General features: G+C 37.3%; 1 protein-coding gene across 8 annotated transcripts in view, besides 1 other annotated feature; it reads left to right on the top strand.

Annotated features, from left to right (window-relative positions):
- Window positions 1-2,278: 2,278 nt before the first annotated feature.
- The window catches only part of CCDC178 (coiled-coil domain containing 178), a 503,635-nt gene continuing 478,165 nt past the window's right edge, over window positions 2,279-27,748 (top strand). For 5 of the 8 annotated variants that reach the window (NM_198995.3, XM_011525951.2, NM_001308126.3 and 2 more), the window contains exons 1-2: window positions 2,579-2,666; window positions 3,238-3,357. The gene's annotated coding sequence lies outside the window, so the exon portion shown is untranslated. Of the gene's footprint in view, window positions 2,369-2,578; window positions 2,667-2,747; window positions 2,847-3,237; window positions 3,358-27,748 lie in introns of those variants that run through there. The other 3 variants (NM_001371120.1, NM_001105528.4, NM_001371121.1) reach the window with 3 other exon arrangements.
- Window positions 18,504-19,703: an enhancer, noted in NCBI's record as "MED14-independent group 3 enhancer chr18:31003580-31004779 (GRCh37/hg19 assembly coordinates)". NCBI's record gives its function as "activates an origin of replication core promoter dependent on BRD2, BRD4, P300/CBP and CDK7 cofactors, and independent of MED14, by STARR-seq in HCT116 cells {active_cell/tissue: HCT116}" and the evidence as "EXISTENCE:reporter gene assay evidence [ECO:0000049][PMID:35650434]".

Raw genomic sequence — 27,748 nt, 5'->3', positions numbered from 1 at the left:
TTCTTCAGCTTAAAAAAATTTAGGGTAGCATGTCCTAAACCCCATCACTACTAGGTTCTTGTTTATGATGATAAGTCTGGTATTGATTTTGCAGTGTCTGATTTCTGTTCTATTTGAGTTTCAGCCACAATCCTGCACTGGGTTTACTGAGATACTCCTACATTTTTTAATTTCAAAATACCCACTTTTGTTTATGTGAAGTAAGTTAATATGTGTATTAGCTTTCTTTGGCTGTGTAACAAATTACGGTAAGTCTAGCAGTTTAAAACAATGTCCATTTATTAGCCTCACGGTTCTCTAAGTAAGTAGCCCAAGTGAGCTTGCCTGGGTTGTCTGCTCAGGGTCTCACGAGGCTGAAATCAAGGTGATGGCAGGACATAATCCATAATCTCCTTTTTTTTTTTTTTTTTTAAGATAGGATCTTGCTCTGTGCTCAGGCTAGAGTGCAGTGGCACAATCTTGACTCACTGCAATGTCTGCCTCCCAAGCTCAAGCAATCCTCCCACCTCAGCCTCCTGAGTAGCTGGGACCACAGGTGCGTGCCACCATACCTGGCTAATTTTTTTGTATTTTTGGTAGGGACGGGGATTCACCATGTTGGCCAGGCTGGTCTTGAACTCCTGGCCTCAAGTTATTTGCCTGCCTTGGCCTCCCAAAGTGCTGGGATTACAGGCATGAGCCACCGTGCCCAACCAGGACATATTTTCATTTTGAGTTCAGTGTTCTCTTCCAAGCACATCCAGATTATTTGTAGAATTCAGTTTCTTGCAGTTGTAGGACTGAGGTCCCCATTGCCTTGCTCGCCGTCACCTGGGATCATTGTCGGCTGCTAGAGGCTGCCTGCCTTCCTTACCATAGGGTCTTGTCAATCTTCAAAGGTGACAATAGAGAATATCCCTTTGATAAATCCCTCTGATGCTTCAAACCTCCGACTCCAGGAAGAGGTCAGTCCCTTTTAAGGGTTTACCTAATAAAGGCCAACCCATCCTGGATAATCTCCCTTTTTCAAGTCAATTGTGTCAGGTAACAAACTAATCAGGAAAATGAAATCCACCAAATTTAAAGTCCTAAGGATTATGCAGGTGTGTATACCAAGGGGTAGGGTCATGGGCGTCCATTTTAGAATTCTGCCTGCCACAACAGGGGTTTAGCAATTATCAGTGAGTTCTAATTAAGAGAAACTTGTCAATAATGAGATTTCTAGTAGGTAAAGTTTTATTTTATGAGAAAAAAATCTAGCTATTGTTTTAATATGCACATTTACATATTGTGAACCCTCATGAATACATATTTACTGGCATGCAAATGATTCATTTGGTTTATAATTTAACATTGTATTGAGAACAAGCCAAAGTTTAATAATTAATGGAGGGAGATGGGAAAGTGGAGTGCATTCTTGAATCCATTTTTTAATTACAAAAAGAGCTCTGCTTCTGCATATATTAATTTAAGATTAAGACCTTCCACCAGTTTGTTAGTTATTGCTTCCTTTTTTTCATCTTTGGCTGAAAGGACCACATTCCAGGTACGGACTTGCTGGTTTTCCCCTCTTAGAAAGGATTACTAATTAAATTGCCTCTTAAAGTAATAGACTTTGCTGATTTAACCTTGGCAGGCAATTGCCTGTTCTCAGTGTTGCCTGGAAAAATGATTTCTCTGGATGAGAATGCTAATCTTTATTCTGATTCTGTTTTTTTTTTTTAACCATCTTCAGTTTATAGTCCAGTGTTTGTTTTCATTGAAGAAGACGGTGACAATAGTGTAAGACACGACTGTCCTCTGAAGCCTATTTCAGTTCACAGTGTATATTCACAGATGAAGAAACAAAATGTAGGTAATACATTTTGTGCCACTGATTTATGTATTTATTGATCTGTCGCCCAGGCTGGAGTGCAGTGGCACGATCCCAGTTCACTGCAGCCTCTAACCACTGGGCTCAAGCAATCCTCCTGCCTCGGCCTCCCAAAGTCCTGGGACAGGACACGCCTGGCACAGGGTTGTGCCACCACACCCGGCCTGCCACTTAGTATTTTGTCAGAAGGATCAATGCTTCAAAAATTTGTTTTTGAAAGAAACAGACCCTTAGAGAAATGGCTTGAATTAGTCTTGAATTAGTCATTTTCCCCACTTTCAGACACTAGGAAAAGTTCTTTCTTCCTTAACAGTTTGTTGAGGTTTCTCAATACTGAAGTCACAACCAAACCACATGGGGTTATCGCATGGAGTCCTGGTTGTATCATCCCAAGTGGCAAGAAAGAAAGAGGTCCTGCGGTCCTCCCGAAGGTGGACGAAGTCTGTGATCCCCTCACGTTCTAACCTCACTGCTGTACGAAGGGGCGTTGACTCGTCTCCACTCCTTCCCTCTCCGGTAAAGAGGGAAAGGAGTTGGGTTGGCAAATCGGTTACAAGAGAAAGGGAAAGGCACTGGGAGAAGGCGGAGCGGGGGCGGCCTGGAGCGCTGATCGGGCGCCGAAACGCCGGGAGTCGGGGGCTAAGGGCTCGAGCCAGGAGGCCCCGGAGCAGCAGCCGCCCGCTCCTCACGCCGCCGCCGCCGCCCCCGCGGTTGCCTGGACACGGGATAACCGACTTGGGGCCTCGACCGCAGCAGAGCCGGAGGGGTGGGCAGGCGCGGGTCCGGGAGACGCGCGGGGAAACGCGCGGAGCCGGTGAGTCGGGGGCGCTTGTGCCTCGGCGCGGGCGCTTGTGCCTCGGCGCGGGGCGCTGCCGGGCGGCGCCCACTCCCCCTGGCCGCCCGCCTGCGCGACTCCCGCGGGAGAACCAAATGCAATTCCCTGGCCACCCTGAGGGAGTTAGAGTCGACTAGTTCTTCACCCCTTCCAGAGGCGGTGGGGAGTCCTTGCCCCGCGCGTTTGAAAACAATTCCCCAAATCCCCAGTCCCATAATTCCCCAGTCCCCCAGTCGTTTTGTCCCCCTGTTCTCCGTCCTCCAGTTTCCCAGTCCTCCAACCCCTGTCCCCAGTCCCCCAGTCCCCCAGTCCCCCAGTCCCCCAGTCCCCCAGTCCCCCAGTCCCCACTGCCGGGGGAAGGGAAGCAGAGTCTCCCTCCGCTGGCCGCCTAGAGGAACTTCGTCTTGTCTGTAACTGCGTCTCTAGCGTCTTATTCCTTTAAAATAATTATTTCAACTTTTATTTTGCTTATAAGGCCGCCTTGTGGTGGCTCATGTATTATTCCTTTGAACTGTTATTGATTTCTTTTCTTGATATTTAATTTTTTAAGTGTCTGCTCAATCAAGTCAAATACTGAACAACTTCCTGGCGGAGAGGCTGAGAATTTTATACTTGCTTGCTCGAAAGCACCCCAAATAAGATGATCCACGCCAACACCTCCCCTTTACAGGTGAGAAAAGTGATATTCAGAGCTGATTTGTGATTTGACAAAAGTCAGATCCAGCAATCTTCAAACTCAGGAATATAAGAATCTCCCGATTGCCAATTCAAAGCATTTTCTATTATTGTTTTCTTGACATTCATCCACTGCTCAATAAATATTTGTGAATTGACTTGGTAGCTTATCACTCCTATTTATCATTGGATAATCTGTTGTGTATTGATTGCTCTGGGCATCTTGACCCAAATACAGCATTCTTGACATCTCCCTCCTACCCTCAAAATATTGTTTCTTGGTCCTGCTGTAGTAATAGGTTTTAGAACACCACTTACCAAGTTTAAGAACTCAGAGACATGACTAGTTGTAAGACAAATCCAAGAATCCAGAGGATTTTCAGCTATTTATGTTCAATTGTTATTTAGACATTCGTACAGAAACTAGTGTATTTCTATCTTGAATATATAATACTTCTTACTTTACTGTTGCAGTCATAAAGTTTTATTATAAACTATATCTGTCTAATTTCCAGAACTATCGAAAATATGAGTTTGATTGTTAGTCTACCCACTATCCCTGGATGGGTTGGGATTGCTGCCAGAGCTTTTATCCACAACCCAGACTTCTCTCTCCTGCTCCCACCTCAGATTCAACACAACCTTAGACTCAACTAATTTGTTACCACATCCTCAGAATTTTTCTTCCTGTTCTATATTCCATAGCAGTGAACGGGATAATTGCATATATTCTTCTTTCTTTTATCTTTATAATATGGACTTCATTCTCACACTGGCTTATTCCACCAGTCTAGAACCATGATTTCCAAGAGCACTGGACTCATAAATTCCCAAACTTGCACCTATAAAGAAAATCTAGAAACACTCGATGAATTCTTCTTGACCTCAGTTGGTTCAATTTGCCTGTCCCAAGAGCATTTATGTTGGGGATAGGGTTACTACGATTGACAGCAATGTCAGACTATGTGGATGGAGTGGGAAAACAATTACACACAAAACAGGAGCCCTCTAGGAAAGACAATTTCTGGGGGAAAATCCATATTTGTCTACTCAGTTTATCTAGGCTTATGGGACTGAAGATTAATGAGGTTAATGAGAATATTGGCTGCTAAAATGCTAGATGGCAGATTACAGACAACATGGAAAGGAAGATGATGTATGGTGAATGAGCAGGGAAAAGCAGAAAGATTAAGCAACTGGAATATTTAAAGTAGACGAAGAATTTGTATTGAGGTAATGATATAGGGAGAGAATTGGACTGATTATTTTATAAGCATCTGGGTTATATACCTGGTGGAAAATTAGTACATCTACAAGCAGATGGTTGCATGTGTGTGAGCTCTAATGGCCATGGTAACTTCATGTCTGTTTTCTGCACAATAACACAAATTGTGTGTGTGTGTGTGTGTGTGTTTGCCGTGTGTGTGTGTGTGTGTGTATGCCGTATATGGCATTTTAAAATCGATGTTGAACTTTTAACTTCATTTATAATGCTGCTGAAATAGAAGAAGACCACTCACATTAGAACAAGCCAAGGCTATTTATTCAGATCTTGCTAGAGGAAGGGAGTGAGCTACTATTACTTGCATTGGACAGAGACTCAAATGCAGACAGGGGAGTGGGGAAGCTATAAAGCTTCAGGTATGTTTTGACTGGAGGTTGTTGACATGGGGATGCTGAAGGAGGGCTAACTAGAAGCAGGATACTTTATGTGACTGGTCTGAGGATCTTATCTGGCTTTCTCTGCTTGGTCTCGAGTTGGAACCAGGGGCAATAATTAGGAAAGCTGGCAGTCATCAACAAAGTCCTGACTGTTCCATGCTGATCACTGTGGAAGTTATGGTTTGGCTTTCTGGACTGGTTGATGCAGATGTGTGGATTAGAGTTTTATTTTCATATGTGGTCTGGCCATAGTCCCTTTATATTTTCAGTCAATGTTCATAAAAATTCAGTTAGGTAAATTTAAACTTATCCTTATATTAGAAAACTGATATTTGCACACATTGTATTTATGGACATGTAATTTGTTAATGAACCCTAGTTCACTGAATTTAAATTATTACCATGTATTAAGTGGTTATTATATGCTGGTGACTGGACTAAATATTCTGTACACATTATCTTATTTTAACCCTCACAATAACACTGCGAAGTATTGTTATTTTTACCATTTTCCGCAGCAAAAGGCTGAAGCTCAAATACATTAACTACCCTTCCCAAGGTCAGATAGCCAGCCAGTAATGGGGCCCATGAGGAACTGAATTCTACATCTAACTGATTGAAAAGCTATGTTCTTTGGCATTTGATTAAACTACTTTAATCATGATATGTCTATTTTATATTAATTTATATCTATGAACATTACCTTCTGGCCTCCCTTTCTGGGTACTTACTGAATGTGTGTGTGAACAGAGGTAATTAGAAGACCTTTCATATGAACCGAAGGGATTCAACCTACCCTTAGATCCTGGAAAACCTTTGGATTTAACCACAAACCAATGAACTGGATGAGATACCTGGGCATGTTAAATAAAATAGCAAAGGTGGAGGGGCAACAATATGGTTGAACAGACAGTAAAAGAACACAACCAACAAGTTATAGTTTGCATGGAAATTAGTTATTTGAACATCCCTGTATTGATGGTAAGTTGTTTAATGGACAAACTAGACAATTATTTTTGTTTCTTTAAAAATTTTCTTTGTGTAAATGAGATTTTATTATTTAAATTTGTTTTCCTTGAGGTAAAAACTATCCTCATAAATTGTAACTGTTGAGTCTAAAAATTACACTTGCGACAAATTCTTTGAGAGGCTGAAAAAGCTAAGCATTTTTGCTAGAGAAATTATGTTAGTCAGAGGTAATTACACTTTAATCACCTTAAGTGTTCCATTGCTTAAGAAACTCCATTTGCTCGGTTTGTACTCCCAGAACAACTTTATAACGGGCAAAGGATATAGCATAACACAGAAGCAACACAAGAAAAATATGCATGAAAAAGGACCTAGAGGTCCCAGGCACAGGTTTCTTTGTTCTCCCACCTCTGGGTCACGCAGATGCTCTTAGCCTGTACCAGACTGTAACAACTACTGGTGTGCATGTGAAGCACTTCTGTAGCAGGAGACCCAAATCTGCTCACAGTGGAGATCTCTTATAATAAGCTTTTCATATAGACATATTCTAGCTATGTTACCAGCCTTTACTTTGAATGTCTTCCTCCCCCAGGCTCCACTGAAATTAGGTGCAATTATAAATTCAATTATTATTACTAAACAGTGCTGGCAGGCTGATACATCTTGCTCTGAAACAATTCATGGACCCATGGTTACAAAACATCATTTATCTTTAGTTAATACATTTTACAGCATTGGCCAAGGGTCAGTAGCTCTGGAGATAAACTGCAATCAATCCAAACTGGCTAAGATGAACCTATTAGATGCATAGATTGTGGACACAGCAATAAATGTTCAAGTCTTTTCCCCATTAAAACCAGAAAACAAATAGCATCCTCCTTTGCATCTATATCTCACTTCATGTCTAGCTCTTTCCAGCTCATATCTGCTCAAGTCCTAGAAAGAGTGGTCTATGCATGTCTTTCATCATCCTCATTCTTGCTGTCCTGGACATCTTGTTACCTAAACTCTGCTCCTATCATTTATGGGAAATGTTTGTGTTAAGGTCATTCATGACCTTCTGCTAGATGAAATGGACATGTTTGTATTTTTTCTAGTCTTTGTCTTAATGTACTTTTTGGAAACTTGACTCCAGGTTGCAACTCCTTTCTCTTGTTTTCTATGATCCCATTCATTTTTATCCTTCAATTTCTCTAGAAATTGTTAATGTTAATTATTCTTGACTTTAATGTCAAAATTCCTTTTCTTTATTGCTGTTGTTATGTGATCTGATCCAACTATAGTTCTATAATAATAATTCCCAAAACTATGTATCCATCAAACCTTCTCATGAATATTGGACACACATATACCATCGTCATTAAAAAGCACCCATATGTGAAGTTTCAGTGGTCCTCTCTCCTCTGCTCACCTGGTTTTCCTCACGTAGATCTGATTTCAGATAGTGGCAGTGTAGGCTATTCATTCATGCCAGAGGTATGGGAGTCATTCTAGATCCCTCTTTCTCTGTTACTGCATTTAATTTATCATCAAATCACACTGTTTCTGTCTCTTAAATAGCATTTGATCCTTTTTCCTCCTTTCCATTTCTACTTCTTGTAGCTTAATTATTATTGTATTATAATAATAAATATTATTATTATAAATAATGTTTACTATGATCACTTCAGTAGTCTTCTTGATCATTTTTTGCCTCTAATCATGGTCTTCTTCAATAAGCCCTCCATGGCATAGCACTTGCCTCTCTCTCTCTGTAGTGTTACTGTCTGTTGACTGATATATTCCTACAAAAGATTTGAAGTAGTTAGAAAAGGGTCTCATTTATTCTGGCATCATCAGTGCCAAGCATATAATATATATTGAATACTTTTTTGAATGAACAAATTAACATACAATTTAGAAAATATGCATGGGAAATGAGGATATGGTGCTTACATGCTCTAAAACAACACTGTCCAAAAGACTTTTCTGCAATCATAGAACTGTGCTATGATGCAGTAGCCTATAGCTACATGTGACTATTGAGTAGTTGAAGGTGGTTAATGTAGCCAAGGAACTGTATTTTTAATTTTTAAATTGAATATGGCTAGTGGCTATGACAGAGAACAGCATAGTTTTAAGAAAATATGCCCCAAAATTGCTCTTTTTAAAAAATATAATTAACTCTTAAGTGGAATAAACTAAAGCTGTTTTTTTTCTGCTCCAATAATTATGACCATTTTAAACTAAAATTCTGCAGACGGTCCCTCATTCATAGTTCAACAATTCTGTTCAAGAAATATTTTTGAGCACATAATATTTGCCAGGTGCTGTGGGTTCAAAGATAAACAAAATGACAATTTCCACATTTGAAGATGTAGCCCGAAAATGTCACCTGATAATGGAATTTGATTTCTGAAATATTGAAAATTAGCGGAAAATTTGAAAATTGATGAAGACACTGGGAAAGAACATTTTAAATATTTTTTCCCTCTTCCTTCTCCTACATCTAGATTCTGAAGTAGCAGATGAGAGTTAGAATTGTCAAAATGAATCTTATGATGATGGGAATCATTTCACGTCCCCATGTGAAATATACACCCCTCCTGAAGTGCAGTGGGGATGAACTTTTGCTTGTTTCTTTGACCTATGTAGTTTTCATTATCTCCTTTCCTTTCTACCTTCTATTTTGTGTCTTCCTGATATCTCAGTTGCTTTCAGATTTATTAATTTCTCTGAAACACAATGTTGCAGACAGCCCCATGTCACAACCTCTGGCTCTAGACAGTTCCATCAAACTGTGTCATTTCTGGGGACTGACTGTGGTATGATAGCAAATTTTGCATCAGTATGACAGCATTTATAGCCAAGCTAATTTAGATTACTTAGCAAATATTATGCCATGAAATCATGTATAAAATTATATCAGTAGGGTCCAAATATATAGTATAAAATGTATTTCTTTACCCACTAGTTTGAACATTTCCATAGAAAACTGCTGTAAGAAACTGTTGGCGTAATTTCTTTGTAATAAATTCCCAATGCTGCTTATTATTTTTGATTTTCTTATTCTCCAGATGGCTACACATTTCCACTCTTATTTGTCTGTTATTTCACTAAACACAGATTTCTTAGTGGGTGTTATTATTTATTTATATTTTTTATATCTCTGGTTTGTTTTGCAGCAACAAAACCTGTTTCTCTTAATGAAGAATTTAACAACAATAGGAAATTAGTGGAAAGCTTAATTTTCCAGCTTCATTTAGTGCTTCTCAAAAGCTATACTGTTGGATGAATTTTGATTTCTTTACTGAATATTAACAAATTTCTAGAAAAATATTAAATATTGCTTGTATTGAGATCTTTGCTTAGTCATAGTGATTTAAAAGAGTCCAAACATTTATACTTAAACATATTTCAATAATAGAATTACTAATGAAAGCATTACTTCCTTTTTCCCCTATGGCATAATGATAAATCCAGAGTGATATCCATTTTTATTTTCTTTATGAAACGTATAAGAAAATATCTTTCCACACACACACACACACACACAAATTCTGCTATTGAATTATTGGTCAGTCATGGAGTGGGAAGCTATTAAGGCGCTTTACTGTTTAGAATGAAACATAACAGGAAACCTTAGCGTTTTATTACATTTTCTCAACTAACAGCTTAAAGCTGTAATTATGGGGAAATAAAACCACATTGTTCAAACTTCACTCTATTCTTCTTTATTTTCTTATTCATTTTAGTCTGATATTTTCCTTCCCTATAGATGGCTTACTGGGATCTGGTAAAGATTGTTAAGTGGAGGAACATTGAGTGACTAGTGGTGATGGGTTGGGGGCAGGGCAACAGTGTATTACCTGTTTTCAATTTAGTGTTTGAAGGCCTCTAGTAGGAAAAGAAAACTCATGACCTTTTGACAAGGTCGTAATTAAGGGAGAGTTAGTCTCTCCATTTTTATTAAATTTTAATTTGGTAGCTCATATGAACTAGAAGTTTTTTTATTTAGCAACATATGCTTTGTATTAATTCAGTAGTTCGCATTTTGAGGAAGATCATTTAGGGAATCTGGATGAATAAAAATTGGATATACTCTGGAGATGCCATGCCAATGCATGGATATCCTTTTGCAGAAGCAGAAAAATCAGCCCTAGGTAACAATTTTCAGTAGAATTTTAGATGTATCCTCTGTGGGAAAACTCAATACTCCCCTCACGTTATCCAAACTTTAAACCCTACAAGGTTTATAAAAATGACTAATAGAATGGAGTGTTATGCTTTAGAAGAATAAACAGAACTTGGTGAGTGTTAAAATTTCTAAACTAATGTTAACAAACACTGAGTAATTTCTTTGTAATTCAAACATAACCTCAGAATAGTTGATAATATCAGTCTCTCTTACAAAGGCAATAATTAAACCTCTTAAAGATCATATTTCATATGCCTTAATACCACATTAATCAATGTAACTGTGTTCTCAACATTTAGTTCCTTAACAGACAGTAGATTTGAAAAAGTTCAAGGCAGCTGTTTCTTGATACCTTTAAAAAAGTAATTAAATTAATGGACAAAGCCGTGCAATTAAAAAAAATATTTCTGACGTTTATCTTACAGAGCATCATAAATAATCCATAGGTAGAAACGGCATGAAGATAATGTTTCCCTTATTGGGAGATTCAGTCTTTCTTTAGATAAGTTACTGGATGTGTTTCTCAAAGAGATGTGTTTCTTTGCTACTGAGAGGGACCTGGAGTGTATAAAATTAGAAGGAAGAGCATCACGGGGTATTGGTATGTGCATCAAGGAGTATTCAGTTAGTGTGTGTGTGTGTGTGTGTGTGTGTGTGTGTGTGTGTGTGTATGGAGAAGGCATGAGAGAATTATATTAAAAATTGTGTTGGAGAAATCTATTACTACCATCTTTAAGCAAAACTTACAGTTCGCTTAGAAAAACTCTGCTAAAAATGTTTAGGCTCTACTAATATACTTTTGCTGGTATAGAAAGCATGGATCAGCCCAGAAACGGAGTATGTAAAGAACACCACACTTAAGATTTTTCTCTAAGTCAACTAAATTCCAATTCTGTGGTGCCTTTCTACTAGTTTAGCAGCAAATTTACCCTCAGACAATCTTACTACTTGCATCCGCCTCCCCATACCCAACCAAACCCTCCTGCCATGTGTCATCTCTTCCATTGAGAGTACCAGCCTTTTCATGGATCTCATAGATCACTGCTGACTTGATGTGGCTCCCAGGCCCATAAGAAGCTGAGTGCAGCTGGGAGCTCTCATGCCTGTGATGCAGCCTGCAGTGCACCCAGCAGTCATGTCTCCAAAATCTGGTCACCTCCTTTGCTGCTACCATAGCCTTGCTGGGCTCACAGACCTCTTCCATCACCACCTCACTGATCCTACATTCCTCTCCAGGATATCCCATGAATTAAGATCAAAGAGATTTCAGACTGCTTCAGCTTTTCTCCAGGCCAAAAACCTTTAGACAAAAAACTACAAAGTCTTGTTATGATATAAAAATGGGAGTAGACCAGCTGCGGGACTGAATAGAGAGAACAGATGCAATTAATAATTCAATATCTTCAGCTGATAAAATAATGTTTTAACAAACATGGTGCTATTTGGGGTGGAGGAGGGTGCAGTTTGATTACCTGGGAACCTACCATCCTTTATTATAGAGTGGCTCCTAGTAGGAGTATTTATATCACCTGCAGTAACAAGATTAGTTTAAAGTTGTATATGAAAATTTGTGTTATAATAGCTATGTATTTATTTTCATATCTACCAGAAAATATATAATCCTAATGTGAATTGGTGTAAATTGACTTAAATAACACTACAAAGAGTAAGCAAAAATAACAAAAAGTATGATAGTGGTATCCAAATAACCAGATGTGAATAGCCAGTATGACCTTGTTTCTGTGAAAAATCATGTTATTGAATTTTTAAAAAATTGTTATTATGTTTATAATTGAGAATGCCTAATTCAGATATTCTAAGGAAGTTGTGAAGATTCTTAGTATGCAGGAAGTTTTCTTGGCTTTCAACAAAGAAAACGTCCCAAATAATATAAATGGTTAGTTTCCCATGCTCTACTACTCCACTGTTAAAAGTAAAAAAAAAAAAAAAAAAAAAAGTTAAATCATTTGTATTTCACTTATGTAGACTTCATTCTTTTGGTTTTGAGGACAGTGAATCATCACCTGAGCCATTTCCATTATTGTTGCTGATGTTCTTTTTTTTTTTTTTTTTTGAGACGTAGTCTCGCACGGTTGCCCAGGCTGGAGTGCAGTGGCGCGATCTCGGCTCACTGCAAGCTCCGCCTCCTGGGTTCACGCCATTCTCCTGCCTCAGCCTCCCGAGTAGCTGGGACCACAGGGGCCCACCACCGCGCCCGGCTAATTTTTTTGTGTGTTTTTAGTAGAGATGGGGTTTCACCATGTTGGCCAGGCTGGTCTCGAACTCCTGACCTTGTGATCCGCCCACCTCGGCCTCCCAAAGTGCTGGGATTACAGGCATGAGCCACCGCGCCCGGCCTAATATTTTGATTAGTTAATAAACCTAATAGTGCAGCCCTCTATTAGAACAGGTTAGACTATGTTTTGCAAAAGTCCAACATCACAGTGGTTTAACAAAACAAAGATCTCTTCTTTGATGATGTTAGTGATGTGGTTAAGGCAGCTTTCCTTCATGGGGTCCTCTTGAAGGAGTGGCGTAGGGATCCAGCTTCTTTCACTGTAGCTTTACCATCTGGATCACATGGCTTCTAAGGTTCCATGGAAAGGAAAAGGGCTGGAGAGGCAAAAGGAATGATTTTAAGGTCAAGATCTACTCTACATTCCATTGGCCAGAATTCCAATTACATGGTCCTGAAACTGTCTTCAAGAGAGGCCGGCAAATATTGTTTTCCTATTTCTGAGAAAGAGGAAATTGTGCAATGAACACATATTGTTATTTCTACCACAATCCCAAAATATAATCCAGAGTAGTTAAGATATAAAAGACTATTTCATCAAAAGTGTTTCATTGTGCATTTCATATAATATTTACTGCTAACGAACAGTTATACATTGACAAAAAATAATGTCTAAGAATAAATAAAGCTCCAAATAGTTTTATTATATTTAGGTTTAGAAGCTGTCAGAGGCTTACTTTTATTTTACTCAAGTAAAGTTTTTGTGGCAATTTTTTGATTTTAGAACAACAAAAGTATTTTTTTTGTAGATAACTCTTTGTAGATACAGATATATCTGAAATGATTAATATAAATGCAGTTTCTGAACCAATATTATCTCTTAGCTTTGCTTTTATCATGTCACATTATTATCTAAATACATACTAAACTTGCATTGAAAACAAAGTTTACATTTTAGGTGGAAGAGACTATAATTTTACACACGAAAGGATTTATCCTTTGACACAGAACGGCTGGAAATAGCATATATCATCTACCTTTAACAGTAATGCTATCTCAAGTTTAAGCTTACTTTTGTTAAGAAATAGCTTCTTTCTTTGGTTCCCAGGGTTGCAAATACTCTCTATTCTCTAGCTGTAATGACCATTGAAGATAAGTGATTTACAACATGGTTATCTGAATTTAAATTTGCTAGATAAAAGTGATTTTTCTTTACATTTGTTATTTCATTAGGAAAGTTTCCCTGAATTAAAAGAGGTTCTTTTTATTTCATGCTTTCCTTTCTCAAAGACGAATGTGTAATATTTATATCATATATTATTTTCTATCCCTTATAGGATTTAATATTCACATTCACAACATAAATATGTTATTGCTTTATATGCCATTCTTTTGCAGTTTGCATGTCTCTACTACATTTTGCTATGTGATCATTTGATTCTTCTATTTTATTATAACTTCTGCAAAACTTGTTTCATCTTGTTACTGGTTACCGAAGACTGACTTTTGTCCCTTGCTTGCTCTCTCTCTCTCTCTGTCTGTCTCTCTCTCCCCCTCCCTCCTTCTCTGCTTTTCTCCCTCTCTCCCTGTCTCCTTCTCTCCTTCTCTTTCTCTCTCAGTTTGTGTAGGGGTTGCCAGTTCCAGGTCGTTAGTTCATCTTTTCTGTTTGGATATTTCATTTTTAATTACTGATTTTTCTAACTATTTATATATTAATCCAGAAAGTCTTTGTTATCCACATTTGCAGTATCTTTTCCTGACATGAGTGATAATGCGGAGAAGCTTTATATATTTATGAAGTCATAGCTCTAAAATATTTTGTGATTTTGGTGTTATGCTCGAGAGTCTGATCTTTTATAAATCATATTTCTCTTGTTTTTTTTTTTCCTTTTAAACTTTTAATCTATTTGATTTTGAGACTAATTCTATGGTCTCAAGCACAGACTTTGTAATTCTCCTAATTCCATTCAACCAGGCTTACAATTTAAAGTTTGATTGAAAAATACTGCACACGTTATTCTCATTTAAAAGCATTACTGCACACAATTGCACATTAAAGGGTCCTGAGAACTTTTTTTTTTTTTTACTTTTTTTCACCCTAGGAACCCTGTTATATTACCCTCACTCCATCCACTCCCTAATTCTTTTTTTCTTTTCTCTTTTTTTTTTTTTTTTTTTTTTTGAGACAGAGTCTCACTCTGTTGCCAGGCTGGAGTGCAAGTGGGCGATCTTGGCTCACTGCAACCTCCATCTCCTGGGTTCAAGCGATTCTCCTGCTTCAGCCTCCCGAGTAGCTGGGATTACAGGCGTGCACCACCATGCCCAGCTAATTTTGGTATTTTTAGTAGAGATGGGGTTTCACCATGTTGGCCAGCATGGTCTTGATCTCTTGACCTCGTGATCTGCCTGCCTCGGCCTCCCAAAGTGCTGGGATTACATGGTGACACACTCCTGGGCTAAATCCGACTCTGCACTGCCCAGCGATAGCACCTGGTAAATGGTTTAACCTCTCAGTGCTTTAGGATCTTCTCTACAAAAATAGGGCCAGTAGGCTGCTGAGGAGTAAATGAATAACTGGTATGTTTTAAGTGTAAGCTATCATTTTTGTTTTTCTTGGGTTAAGACTTTTCTAGATATTTTATGTGTTAGTAGTATCTCCAAATAAATAAAAACTTCTGGAGGGCAGGAGTTGTCTCATTATTTTCTTATATACCTCCATATGTCTATCAAACATCTGCAGAAGTGTTCAATAAATAGTTATTGACATTCTTAAAAATAGAATTGAAAGAAATTTCTTCAGGAACAAAAGCTATGTCATAATAAAACAGAATAGTACTTTCTAATTCACAAAATAGTTTTTTCATAAGAATTTTGAAGCTTCAAATTTATCAAAATTTATTTTACATTTGAGACAAAAAGTACTTATTCAATATAAATGATGTAAGTACTTTATATTTTGTCAGAAAATGTAAATGCTTGTAGGATATTCACTGCAAAATTGTTTGATGTAACTCAGAGGTGAAATAATAACACATGATACATGATATTGACCTAGGAAATAATTTAACATCGTGAAGGCTGATTTGAATTGCCTGTCACTCTTTAAGTCTCAAGTAATTACCAGAAGGTGAAAGGCTCATCTCTTTACTCAGACAAATTCTGAATACAGTATGAGATATCTTTGTGGATATATGGGTAGAAGCTGACTCTGTGAGTTCTAATTTGATTTATATGAGAAAAATGATATTTAATCTTTCCGAAGATGTGCTTGGCTTTAGCAAAACCATGAGATGTAATATTTAAAGCATCTTAACTCTAATCTATTGGATGTAATACAGACATAATATAAAGTCAATAGAACTTTATCAAAGAAAGAGAAGAGAGATTAGGAATCATAGTTACAGAGTTTAAAGATTTATAAAAGAAATTATTGTAACTGTGTATAGGAAAGATGTGGAACAATGATATTTTCATGATTTTTTACTATTTTGTAATACCTTCTGCATTGTTGCAAAAAATCTAGTCTATTATTGTACAATAAAAAAGATTGTAAAGAAGATATTCTTTGTGAAAGCAATTCTCAAGGCATGATTTATTCTTGTCTCCTATTAAGTTACTATAAATTTTCTAAAATAAGATTTTTACATTTTGGAACTTAAGTTAAAATAATAGTCAATATTTGACAAGTACATTTTTGGCATTTCTGTCTGCTTTTATTGTTTTTGCTTTATTTGAAAATCATTTTTCTTTATTGTTCTTTGAAATAACTTTGAAAATAATTGTTAAGAATGAATCATAGTGACTGCATCTTGAAAACTGGAATATTTTCCCTAGAATCTGTGAGTAGAATATTGACATATAGTTTATTATAAAATATGAATCTTTTCTATGTTTAAGGCAGGATTATGCTCCTTCACATTAAGAGCAAATATTAAGTCTGGAAGCTCTTTAAAATACATGTAAATGTTAATTATTTTACTTTATTTTATTAACAATAACTCAAACTTTGATTTTCAAGATCTCATTTTTCAGAAATTTTCCCATTGTTGACAATCCTCATTTTATTATAATACAATTAAATAATTTTATACTCTGTTGGGCTTTGATTATAAAAAATAAAACAGACAAAGCCCTTGCTGTTTCAGATCTCTTCAGTAGGAAAAGTAACACACGTACACAATTATTCAAGAGACTGTAAGTGCAATATGATACTGAATTGATAAGAAAGTACAAGGAAAGAAGAAAGCAAATACGTTTTGTAGTGAGAAGTAAAAGGAAACTTTATATTAGTTAGAGACCTAAGGAAAGGAAGAGTAAAGAGACTTTGCAAAGGAATGGCTTCATGGAAGCAGATGGCTTGTCTTAATGACTGGTGTGGTTAGAATACAGAACGTAAAATACAGAGGCAAGAGATGGCAGGAATGTATGATTTAATATTTTTATTGTCTCATGGGCATGTAACTTCTATGCCCTTTGAAAAAATTCCTTGCTATTACCAAAAAAGATGTGTCTGGTCAAATTGATGGATTCCTTGAGGGTGCAAATTGCCTTATTCATCTATTCATCTTTGTTTCCTAAATAAGTCACAGTGACATAAACATAAAGCTACAAGCTAATGTTACTAAAGGAAACAATGGGTGACTGAAATGAAATAAATCAAGCATTATAGAATATTAAAGTGGGTCTTAGAGAATAATTCAGTTAGGCCAGGCGCAGTGGCTCACGCCTGTAATCCCAGCACTTCAGGAACCTGAGGTGGGCGGATCACGAAGTCAGGAGATCGAGAATAATTCAGTTAAGTCTCTTAGACATTTCTTTAATCCCTTCTATATCATACTTAATAAATTATTTTATAGCTTCTCTTTTATGACTTCTAGTGATATAATCTTTGCTACCTCATAATATAGCTTTGTTTTCTGTTGAAAAACTGCTTATCAGGAACATCCCATCTCAGGTGTCTACAGAGATGAGATGAAAAAACGAAAAAAGAAAAAATATATCAGGAACATCTCTGCATGATAGCCAAAATATTTTTCTACTGGCTGTAGAACCACCACCTGTTAATCTGACTGCTATTTTTGGAAGAGAGCCTCTAGAAATGTCAACTTAGACTTGCTCCTCTCTTCTCTCCTCGGCCCCATCAGCCCCAGTATCATCATGAGGGCAGCCATGTTAGTAGACAGCATCCTCACCCCATCCATGAATGTAGCCAGGGAAAAGAGAACAGACTCAAGCAGCACAGTTCAAGTATCCTGACTTCCCAGCAACAATTGATTGGATCAGATACAGACACCTGGTCTAAGTAAGGCTAATTAAAATCCTCTAGAGATAATTGGAATCAAGTGTAAGAAAGAGTCAGCTTCTCTTTGGTGGCTGAAGCTTTATATTATAAAACTCAGGAGGTGTCAGCAGCTAAGATTTCTGAAACACGGAAAAGTCAAACTGCAGAAAGAAAATTGAAATGACTATAAAAAGAGAATCTGAGGCCAAGGCAGGGAGAATGCTGACAGCATGTGAGTCCCTGTAATTCTGTTTTTCTTATGGATTGACTGCTGAAATTTCCCAATATCTTTTCCATAAATATTGTGTTTCAGGTTACAGGTTTTTTTAAAATTTTTGTTTTTAAATTAATTGAGGACAGTCAATCAAATTCCTGTTTTCAGACCTTGGTTGAGATCCTGTCTCTGTTTCCTGTTTGCTGCCTTGCTCGATTGTTTGTGTATTCTGTGGTCTTATTTGTTATGTTTAACCTTGCATAGGGGTTTAGAAGCTGTATGGATAAAATATTGGACACTATTTTATTTTTTACTTTCAGTTCCAGGATACATGTACAGAACTTACAGGTTTGTTACATACGTATATATGTGCCATGGTGGTTGGCTGCCCCTATCAATCAGTCATCTAGGTTTTAAGCCCCGTTGACACAATTTTTAAACTATGTGTTAGGTCCACGACTACACCAAATATCACGCCTGGGGTCAGGTTCGAGCCCATGCCAAGGTTCGAGGGGAGTGAGTGGATGGGCAGATAGCTGAAAGAACACTCGGGGCTGTAGGCAGGTGAAGTGCGGTTTAATTCAGCAGCTCTCTCATCAGCAGCTGTCTTACGCTAGCTCTCTCATTAGCAGCTTTCTCACACTGTCCTATTCTGAGCTGTCTGCTCTAGCTCTGTGGCTCCTGCCACCCCCATGCCTGCACGTCAGCCTCTCCCTTGCCTTTAAGGTCAGCAGCTTAACTCTTTCTCCCTCTGGGCCGTGCCGTGGCTCCCCTGTGTCTGTATGCAAGATGGACAGTTGTGGTTCTCTCTCTGTCTCTTTCTGTGGGTGCCAGTGCTGTGTCAAGCCCTATGCACAGCGTCAGAAGGGTAGTTATACCTTCTACAGACACTAGTGGCTTAGAACCAAGTATGAACTTACACAAATAGGTTATATAACAAGTGGAGGTGTGCGCCTGTACACCAATCCAGCTGAGTCACGCAGGCCTGGATGTCTGCCTTGGCCTATTCCTTGAATAAGGCACATCCACGTACCTTACACTATGACATTAAGTGAGTTCAAAATTTCAGCTATATTATAGGTGTAAAGCTGGAAAAAAGCAAGTCGTTATTTTTCAAATATTCTATAGATTAGGAAGTATTTTCCATTGTTAAACCGTTTTTATCTTCTTTACAAAAGACATGTAGACTTCTAACTAATATTGGGCATATTTGGATAAAGTGAATCAGCTAAGCTATAGATAAAGACCAGTAAAAGTAAACAGGTGAATATGATCTTTATAATTACTGGAAGAATACCAATATATTTGCACTATTTACTGGAAAAGATAAAGGAGGGAAAAATGGCTAATGAAATTATTTAAGATGAACTAAACAATATTTTCATGAGAATATGAAAGAATAGGAAAGTAGTTTATTATTAATTGCATAGCTATATCAAAGCTATTAAAATAACATTGATAAAAAGAAACAATATGTTGAAGATAAAATCTATAAATACAGATAAGTATTAGGTTTTACAAGAGTAGATGGCACTTACCATCATTGACTTTGAGGCTTTAATTTTTATGGGTGTTTGGAATGAGTTTTCTAAGTTGTCTAGTTGCTAACTCTAGTAATTATTTGTGGATTTGAGCAATAGATGATCCCAACGAATGCTTTTTTCCATTAAAAAATCAACACTTTGTCAAAGAAAAAACATGGAATAAAGTGGGAGAAGATCTTCGTAATGCAAAGAATTAACAAAGTATTTTATCTAGAACTCTTGAAGGTAAAACACACACACACACCAACATGTGTTTCCCCACATGCCTGCCCTAGAGATACTCTAGTGCTATACACAAAGAAAAGTGTACAAGAATCCTTAAAACAAAATTGGTTACAAAAGGGAAAATATTTAAAAACAATGGAAGTGTTTATCAATAGGAGAATAGATATACTAATACAATAAAATTCTATACAGCAGTGAAAGAATACAATATAGCTGCGTGTGGTGACATGAATACACCTAAAAACGTGCCCTAAATAGGAAAATATTATGTCGAATTTTTTTACAGTATACTATTATTCAGATAGTTTTAAAGCTAACCCAACACTACACAGTATTTTGTTTGGAGGACATACATGTGGTAAAAATATACTGAAATCATTGGATTATGATTTTGATGGCTGTAGTTTCTGGTGAGGCAAGAAAGGAAATGTGACCACTGAGGACTGAATAGGAATTTAAATTGTATTATTAACTATTTTTTTAGGCCGGGTTATAGGGTACAACGTTATTTTTATACTGTTATGCAATTTTTCACTACAAATAAAGCAAGACAATTACCAATACAATTGTGAGAGAAAATGGGTAAAGTGAGATTTTCTGACCAGAATGATAGATCAGAATTTTTGCTTTAGCTATGAAGAAGCAAACAAAATTAGAGGAATATAGTGATTTGCTGAGATGCTAGCATAAGAATGGTGAAACAAAAAGATGTATATGTGTCATATACTCTTGAAATGTGGAAACAAGTAAATATTCTAATAAAAACTGGATAACAGAACCAATGCTAGAAAACTTTAATAGACAGAGAGCAAAGTGAACTTCCAGGCAAATCTGTAGGATTATAAACAGACTGCAGGTATTTCATTCATTCGTGTGTTTTTTCATCATGCTTCCTTTCATTTTCAACCAGACATTTTCAACCAGATGTGCCAGGCATTGCATAGATTTGTGCTGTCCAGTATGGTAGCCAATAGCCACATGTAGCTATTTAAATTAATTAAAATAAAATACAATTAAAAGTCAATTATTTGGTTGCTTTAGCCAAGTTATATTGATATTCAAGGGATCGGAAGTGATCTCAGGTGATACTGTGGCTAGTGCCTTCCATTTTGAACCGTACAGATTTAGGATATTTTCATCATGAAAGTTCTATTGGATGTTGCTGCTGAAGATGCTAAGATTAGAGAAGTGAATAACACAGATTGTATATTCTAATGGAAAAAAGAGAAGTAAAGGAAAAGATCATAAAAGTGTAATGTAATGTTAATGTGTCATTAGAAGAAAATAGAATAATTGGCCAGAGAGGAAAGGAAAATGGGTAAAGACAATCAGATTGTAAACAATAATGAAATGGTTTCCTTAGATCATAATATTGGGGAAAAAAAGCATTTCTATTTATTGTAATGGGGTAGAAAAGAAAAGAATGTGTGGCTTCATGCATGCCAAGAGAAACAATTATTCTAAGAAAAGAGCACAAAACAGATTTCTAGTAAGATAATAATTTAAAAATGGTAATTGAAGTAATAATTCAAGAGGATGTATGAGCTCCCTAGCACAAATAGAAGAATAAGAAACCAGTAGAGGAAGACCCCTGCATTGCCAAAGCAAAAGCATGTGAGGAAGGGCACAGATGTCTTTGCTTTGTGGGTTTTGGGATAGTGAATTCAAATCTAAGTCTGATTTCTTCTGTTTCGTTTCTGAAGTAGGAGGTGATTATTTTCAAAAGAGAGAAGTGGGAAATAGAGAGTTTAAGAAGACACAAGTTTTGAAACAATTGATGTGTAAACTTTTTAGACAAAATAGTACCTTTCCTTTTCTACCAGTCCATTTTTATGACTCTATTCATTCTCATATCCCTGTTTCTAGAACCACCAAATTATCTATTTATTGTTTTCTGACTGAGCGTAACCCGTTCCAGCATTGATAACCTAACCCAGCTCAGCCATTACATCTGTAATTCTCTCATCTGCTCTTCCAGTGACCTTATGTTCTGCCAAATGATACAGCGCTTGTCCTGTCTTTTTGTGCATCTTTCTCTGGTCGTGGTGTACTCATAAATGTTTAACAACTAGCTCTCAAGACAAAAACAAAAACAAATCTTGATTTGTAGCATTTGCTGATTTCTGTGTTATAAATCTATTCACCATGGTTCATTTTGAGCTACCAACAAAACCACAACTGGCTTGCAAAATTCATAAAATTTTAACAATCAGCTTCCTGGCAAGAACTGTGAAAGATCTAAGATTTTACCCTGGCAAGTTAACAAGCCAAGCTACTGCCACATTGATGAAAACAGCCTGAGGGTTGCAGGAAGGAAAGCTGGGGCCAGCATGATGGAATCCTTTGCAGCAATATCAGCTGAAATGCAGTAGATCTTTTTGTTGTTGTTGTTAGTTTATACTTTTGTACTAGAACTGGTTCTAGAATTAATAATTACCTATCATTACTTTATTTGGGCCACTCTAAGCACATTCTGCTATAGAACCTTTGCATATTTGTCAGCAATGCCTGGAAACTCTTCCCTAAAATCCTTTGGCACATTCCTTCAGTTAATTATAGGTAGATGTCACTTCATCAAAGAGAATTTCTCAGAAGAACCTGTCTAAAATAGACTCCCTCCCACTTCCACACCATCTCCTCTAATTGCTTCTCTGGTTGTATTCCACATGTTATGATATGTTTATATTCAAAATCATTGTCCAAAATATTTTCTAAGTTCCATTGTGATATATTCTTTTATATAGGTTATTTATAGTGTATTTTTTAATTTCCACAAGCATGAGGATTTTCTAGCTATCTTTTTGCTTTTCCTTTATGCCTTTATTTTAAGCTTTTTATAATTTTTTTTACTTTTTTTAACTGTTATTTTAATTTCAGTGGTACATGTGCAGGTTTGTCATATAAATTGTGTGTTACGGGAGTTTGGTGTTCAGATTATTTCATCACGGTAATAAGCATATTAGTAGTACTCAATAGGTATTAAAAGTAATGGCAGGCTGGGCACAGTGGCTCATGCCTGTAATCCCAGCACCTTGGGAGGCCAAGGCAGATGGATCACCTGAGGTCAGGAGTTCAAGACCAGCCCAGCCAACATGGCGAAATCCCATCTCTACTAAAAATACAGAAAATTAGCCGAGTGTTGGGGTGCATGGCTGTCATCCGAGTTACTCAGGAAGCTGAGGCATGAGAATCGCTTGAACCTGGGAGGCAGAGGTTGTGGTGAGCCAAGATCATGCCACTGCACTCCAGCCTTGGAGACAGTGAGACTTGGTGTAAAAAAAATAATAATAATAATGGCAAATCCACAATTATTTTTATACCAACCTAATAATTTTTTGATCCTCACCTTCCTCCCTCACCCCACCCTCAAGTAGGGTCCAGTGTCTGTTGTTCCCTTCTTTGTGTCCATGTGTACTCAATGTAAGTGAGAACATGTGATATTTGCTTTTCTGTTCCTGTGTTATTTCACTTCCAAGATTTAACAGTCTCCAGCTCCATCCATGTGGCTGCAAAGGACATGATCTCATTCTTTTTATGGCTGTGTACTATTCCATGGTGTAAACATTCCATGTTTTCTTTATCCAGTCTACTATTGATGGGCATTCGGGATGATTCCATGTTTTTGCTATTGTGCATAGTGTTGCAATGAACATACGTGTACATGTATCTTTATGGTAGAATACTTTATTTTTTTGGGGTATATATGCAATCATGAGATTGGTGAAAAAAAAAAAGAAGGAAAGAAAGATTGCTGGGTTGAATGGTAATTCTGTTTTGAGTTCTTTGAAAAATCATCCAACTGCTTTCCACAGTGGCTGAACTAATGCATAAGCGTTTCCTTTTCTTCACAACCTCACCAGCATCTGTTATTTTTTGACTTTTTAATGGCCATTCTGACTGGTGTGAGATGATATCGCATTGTGGTTTTGATTAGCATTTCTCTAGTGATTAATGATGTTGAGCATTTTTTGATATACCTGTTGGCCACGTGTATTTCTTTTTTTTGAAAAGTCTACATGTCGTTTGCCCACTTTTTAATGGGTTTCTTTGGTTTGTACTTATTAGTTAGTTTGCTCAAGTTCCTTATAGATTCTGGAAATTAGACCTTTGTCAGATGCACAGTTAGAAAATATTTTCTCCCATTCTGTGGGTTGTCTGTTTACTCTGTTGATAGTTTATTTTGCTATGCAGAATCTCTTTAGTTCAATTAGCTCCCATTTGTCAATTTTTGTTGCAATTGCTTTTGGCATCTTCATGAAATCTTTGCCAGGGCCTATGTCCAGAATGGTATTTCCTAGGTTATCTTCCAGGGTTTTTATAGCTTTCAGTTTTATATTTAAGTCTTAATTCATCTTTAGTTGATTTTTGAATATAGTGGTGTAGGGACGGGGTCCAGTTTCAATCTTTTGCATATAGCTAGCCAGTTATCCCAGTACTATTTATTGAAGAGGGTGTCCTTTCTCCGTTGCTTGTTTTTGTCGACTTTGTCAAAGACCAGATGGTTGAAAGTGTGCAGCTTTATTTCTGGGCTCTTTATTCTGTTTCATTGGTCTATGTCTCTGTTTTTGTACCAGTACCGCGCTGTTTTGGTTACTGTAGCCTTGTAGTATAGTTTGAAGTGGGGATTTTTTTATTTTTTTGGTTCCATATGAATTTTTTAGCATAGTTGTTTTCTAATTCTGTGAAGAATGTCATTGGTAGTTTTGTAGGAATAGCAATGAATCTGTAAATTGCTTTGGGAAATGTGGCCATTTTAACAATATTGATTCTTCAAATCCAAGACTATGGAATAATTTTCCATTTGTGTCATCTGTGATTTCTTTCAGCAGTGTTTTATAATTCTCATTGTAGAGATCTTTCACCTCCTGGTTAGCTGTATTCCTAGGTAATGTTTTGTGTGTGGTTATTGTGAATAGGCTTGTGTTCTTGACTTGGCATTCAGCTGGGGTGTTGTTGGTGTATAGACATGCTACTGATTTTTATCCATTGATTTTGTATCCTGAAACTTTGCTGAAATTCTTTATCAGATCTAGGAGCCTTTTGGGCAGAGACTATCGGTTTTTTTTTTTAGATATAGAAATGTATTGTCTGCAAACAAGGATACTTTAGCCCTCTCTCTATTTGGATGCGTTTTATTTATTCCTTCTGCCTGACTGCTGTGGCCAGGACTGCCAGTACTATGTTGAATAGAAGTGGTGACAGTGGGAATCCTTGTCTTTTTCTGGTTCTCAAGGGAAGTGAATCCAGCTTTTGTCCGTTCAGTATGATGATGGCTGTGGGTTTGTCTTATTAGATGGCTCTTATTATTTTGAGATATGTTCCTTTGATGCCAGGTTTGTTGAAGGTTTTTAACATGAATGGATGTTAAATCTTATCAAAAGCCTTTTCTGCATCTATTGAGATGATCATGTAGTTTTTAGTTCTGTTTGTGTAATAAATGACATTATTAATTTGTGTATGTTGAACCAGCCTTGCATCCCACTTAAAAAGCTGACTTGATTGTGGTGGATTAGCTTTTTGATGTGCTGTTGAATTTGGTTTGCTAGTATTTCGTTGAGAATTTTTGCATCTATGTTCATCAAGGAGAGTGGCCTGAAATTTTCCTTTTTCATTGTGTCTCTGCCAGATTTTGGTAGCAGAATGATGCTGGCCTAATAGAATGAGTCTAGGGAGGAATTCCTCCTCCTCAGTTTTTTGGAATAATTTCAGTAGGAATGGTACCAGCTCTTCTTTGTATGTCTGGTAGAATTTGGCAATGAATCTCTCTGGTACTGGGCTTTTTCTGGTTGGTAGGCTTTTTATTACTGATTAAATTTTGGAATTCGTTATGGGTCTATTCAGAGTTTCAATCTCTTCCTGGTTCAGTCTTGAGAAGCTTTTTATTTTGAAATAATTATAGTTTTATAGGAAATTGCTTAGAAATACACAGGAAAGTCCTGTGCTCCCTTCAACTATCAGTTCCCAATGTTATACTAACATCATATATAACTATAGTACAACAATAATAACAATAATACCATAAAATTTATATTGATACAGGCAATGGAACTTATTCAGATTTCAGCGGTAATACTTGCAGTTATTTGTGTGTGTGTGTGTGTGTGTGTGTGTGTATACAGCTCTGTGAACTTTTATTTTATGTGTAGCTTTGTATATCATCACCAACATCATGAGACTTACCCCACCACAGCATTCCTTGATATTACTCCTCCCCTATCTCTAGGCCTAGGCATCTGCTAATCTGTTCTCCCACTCTGTAATTATGTTATGTCATGAATATAAATGGAATCATGCAATATGTATCCTTTTGAGATTGCAGGTTTTTTCACTCAGCATAATTAGTATGGAGTTCATCAAAATTGTTGCATGTATCAATAGTCTTCCTTTTTTTCTGGATTGTATTCCATTGTATGGATGTACCACAATTTGTTTAGCCATTCACCCACTGAGAGACATCTAGGTAGCGTGCAGGTTTTGGCTATTGTGGACAAAACTGCTAAGAATATTCATGTACAATCTGAATGAAAATGTTATCTGGGATATATGTTTAAGAGTGCAATTGCTGCGTCTTATTGTTAAGTTCATCTTTAGATTTGAAAGGAACTGCCAAAGTATTTTCCAGAGTGGTTACATCATTTTGCATTCTAACCAGCAATGCCTAAGTGACCCAGTTTCTCCACATACTTGCCAGCATTTCATGTTGCAACTATTTTTTTTAATTTTAGTCATTTTCATAGATAGATATCTCATTATGGTTTTAATTTGCACTTTGCACTTTTACTGCTGGGCAAGGGTGGGAGTTCCAGCTCTTTCTGGCTGGAAGGGGTAGGAGGAATGCCTTGTTACTTCTCCCTATGTGGCTTTCACTGACACCTTGAGAGTGGTGTAGCCTTTTTACTGCTGGGTTGTGGTGCAAGTAATGTCTCACACTACCCAGTGGGGAAGAATAAAGGTACTTCTTTACTTGTGGGAGTGGGTGGAAGTCCAGGCTCCCCACATAGTTTCCAAATGATCATGAGGTGCTGGGAGAGTTGGAGAGTAGGGTGTGGTTCTTGAGTCCTATCAGTAAAGATGAAAGTCTTGAATCCCTACAGTTTATTTACTCTGATACCACTACCCACTAGGAAATTTGGGGTCCTCATTATAGCCTATCCAGGGTAGATATAGTCTAGGCTTCTGATTCAGTCTTTGTGGGGGCAGTTTTTTTCTTTTTTTTTTTTTCGAGACAGAGTCTGGCTCTGTCACCCAGGCTGGAGTGCAGTGGCGCGATCTCTGCTCACCGCAAGCTCCGCCGTCTGGGTTCACGCCATTCTCCTGCCTCAGCCTCCAGAGCAGCTGGGACTATAGGCGCCCGCCACCACGCCCGGCTAATTTTTTGTATTTTTAGTAGAGACGGGGTTTCACCGTGTCAGTCAGGATGGTTTCGAACTCCTGGCCTCATGATCCACCCGCCTCGGCCTCCCAAAGTGCTGGGATTACAGGCGTGAGCCATCGCTCCCGGCCCGGGCAGTTTTTTTCTGATGTGTTTAGCTGGAGTAGAGATGTTACTGTCTAAATGCATTCCCTCTTACTAAGCCGCCCCTTTCCTGGTCTCTTGACTAAAGAAAGCAGGCTTTTGTTGGAGCTTTATTTTGTCTATACCCATTGGCATTTCTGGGTTGCTGGTCTCTTCTACTTCAAGTTTGGAATATACAAAGCATAGAGAAAATCTCAGAAATTTACTACCTCCTTGTTTCTCTGGTAACAAGTCTCCTAGCTAGTCTGCCTTCTTCTCTACACCTTTCAGTCTTCTTATGTTGGTTTTACATATAATGCACCCAGAGTTTTTTTTATTGTACTTACAGGAAGGAATAAGGAAAAGTGTATATCTATTCCATCTTCCCAAAAGTAGAGGTCAGGAGTGTTGAATTTATGCTTGCTTTTGAATTTTCTTTTATTTCTGTTTTTTTTAAACTATACTTTAAGTTCTAGGGTACATGTGCACAACGTGCAGGTTTGTTACATATGTATACATGTGCCATGTTGGTGTGCTGCACCCGTTAACTCGTCATTTACATTAGGTATATCTCCTAATGCTA

The sequence above is a fragment of the Homo sapiens genome, chromosome 18, assembly GCF_000001405.40.
Source record: "Homo sapiens chromosome 18, GRCh38.p14 Primary Assembly".
Lineage (NCBI taxonomy): Eukaryota > Metazoa > Chordata > Mammalia > Primates > Hominidae > Homo > Homo sapiens.
The sequence above is the reverse complement of the archived record's forward strand: the minus strand, read 5'-3'. Positions and strand labels throughout refer to the sequence as shown.